Source organism: Homo sapiens, chromosome 4 (assembly GCF_000001405.40).
Source record: "Homo sapiens chromosome 4, GRCh38.p14 Primary Assembly".
NCBI classification, from domain to species: domain Eukaryota; kingdom Metazoa; phylum Chordata; class Mammalia; order Primates; family Hominidae; genus Homo; species Homo sapiens.
Genome location: NC_000004.12, coordinates 14,335,326 through 14,337,970, shown reverse-complemented (window position 1 = coordinate 14,337,970; position 2,645 = coordinate 14,335,326). Strand labels below are relative to the sequence as shown.

Sequence of the window (2,645 nt, the reverse complement as noted above, 5' to 3'; positions counted from 1 at the left end):
AAAATTCTTCCACACTTAGCTGTTTCCTCAGGCTAAAGTCTAAAAGCATTATATTAGCCTTAGAGATCTTCCATACTCTCTTGATTCCTTCCTTTATTTTGAGATTCTCAAAATGCTGCCTCCACTTCAAGTCAAACAGAATCTAAGGTGAATATTGGATTCACAGTAGTAAACCCAACTTATCTTAGCAATAATGGAAAGATAGCTCACTCTGTCTTTCTCTTTCTCTCTCTTTCTCGCACACACACATACACACACACACACATGCACACACACGCGCGTGCACACACACACCCATCTACCTTAGAGATAACAAAATATTTCCCATGTGCTTATCCATGTGATCTTGAACACATTATTTAACCTCTCTGGGTTTTAGGTTGCAAAACCTCAACATTACCTGAATCATAAAGCTGTCATAGGGATTAAGAGATGAGCATGTTGACCATTTAACACTCTATCTGGCATATAGAAAGCAGCTATTACCAGTAATATATTATTATTTTTATATTCTATGACCCTCTCCAAAAGCCTGTGAGATAGTGCAGAGGCAATTATCCCTTCCTTGTAGGTGAAAAACCAAAGCCCAAAGAAGTTAGGATATTTACCCAAGATCGCACAGCATTAAGCCATAATTAGACCTAAGCATTCTCATTCCTAGGTCATTTCCCATCATACATTGCTCCTTTTGAGACTTTACCTATTTTGGAAATATTATCATAGACAAAATTGCACTTTTACTAACAGGAGGCTAGATTTTTTTTTTTTCGTTTAACTGCAAGGTACAGGGGATGAACATCAAGGAGCCACCAGAGCTGCCATTAGCAAGATGCTTGCATTGGGCCCTAAGTTTCCTCATCTATAAGTAGAGGAGATTGGAAAGTTATATTTACGGTGCTGTCTGGCTCCAGCATTTCATAAGTTCACTGGTTTTCCAGGCTCTGGATTCTTAATTATTCATGCTAATGGAGAAAAGAAGTGGGAGGGTAATTGAAATTCACAGATAATCCCTCAAATTGTCTCTGAATCCTTGCCCACCAGGCCTTCATCCTTTCATTTCAGTTACTGACAAGTAGATGTAATTGACTGATTTGAGCTTGATCTTCCTTCTGATCTTACTCATTCTCTGGAGGAAATGACTAATGAGCAGAAAAATTGCCAAATGGGGGAGGGAGACATCAAGGCAAAGGTGTCAATGGTCTGTAAGTTGGTTATTTGCTTCCGGAGTCACTGAAGATGTCTCTGCAGTTGCGCCTCTTGCTCTGGAAAGATGTGATCCTGAAGGACTCTTTGCAAGCCAAATATTTATAGATTAAATTGTATATTTCTATTCAGTGGTGAGTTGACTTACAACAAAACAAAACCAACCAACAAAATATCTTGTGCTGAAACTTTACCTCTTCCCTCCAGTCTTTCTGTTGCTTTATGGAATCACAGAGCACCAATTTCCTCTTCTGTCAAATGGAAGCGATGCTCTTAGGTGTCCTCTCAGAGAAAAGTGGCGGAGGGAAATTAAGTGTACGCAGCCAGGAGCACTCATAATGGTTCAAAGTGCCATGCCTTCCACTTGGATGGTGCAGATTGAAATTGATATATTTTTGGGAAAGATATATTTTAAAATGTGGATTTATAAAAAAGGAAAACCTTCTCTGAGTGAGAATGTTGGGTATATTTTAGAGAAAGAACAAAATATTAATTAGTAGACAGACAGAAGGTGATAAACTAGAAAGAACACAAAATATTTCCAGTAGAAAGAACATAAAATATTCCCAGATTGTAGTTTCCACCATATACAATGAGTGTAGAGTTATGTCAGTTAGGAAGCTACAGTTTGCTAGCTATTATTAGTTAGAACCTGTTTGCTAAGCTATTTATAAAGCTATTGTCGTAAGCGCAACAAGTGAAGTGACATAGCGTATAATTTAAGGTACTAGAACCACCTCCAAATCCAAGCTTTAGCCTTTGGTAGCTGTGTGAGCTTGGGAAAGTTACTTAATGTCCCTATATGTCAGTTTCCTTATTTGTAAAATAGAGATAATAAAATTAACTACTTCACAGCCTATTTTGTGAGGAATTAAACCAGTTAATATACATAAAGCCCTTAGAACGAGGTCTCCATGTAGTATGTATTACATATTATTATTCATGAGATTATTTATATTTAAATGCATATCACATATGCTTATCTTTCTGTACATTGATATCTCTTAAACTTCAAATATTGCTGGGAAGTAGAAATCATTATTATTTTCTATTTTGAGAGCAGAAGTGGGTCTCCAATTCAGGTCTTTCTGATGGTAAATATTCATGCTTATTTTAGAGTGCATCTATGTTTTCACACAGGCCAAGTTTGAAGTCTTAAGTAACTCAGCCCAGCATGGGCCTCCACCTCTCTGCTTATGAGTCTTGCCTCAGCTTCTGTCTGAGTCCTGGCAATCACAGACTTAATAAATGTCGATATGATTATTGCCAGACTTAAGAAGTGTTTGAAAACCAGTTCACCATACTTACTTGAAACTCACACGTTTGATTGCTTTCTAAAGAAATAAACAAACAAATATTTAGACAACTGACTATGGCTGATATATTATTCAACAGGAAAGAAAACTCATCTGGTATGGAAGGAGTGATTAATTCATTTTCTT

At 37.0% G+C, this 2,645-nt stretch overlaps 1 annotated feature.

Moving 5' to 3' along the window:
* Positions 599-1,798: an enhancer, noted in NCBI's record as "CDK7 strongly-dependent group 2 enhancer chr4:14337797-14338996 (GRCh37/hg19 assembly coordinates)". NCBI's record gives its function as "activates an origin of replication core promoter dependent on BRD2, BRD4, P300/CBP, MED14 and CDK7 cofactors, with strong dependence on CDK7, by STARR-seq in HCT116 cells {active_cell/tissue: HCT116}" and the evidence as "EXISTENCE:reporter gene assay evidence [ECO:0000049][PMID:35650434]".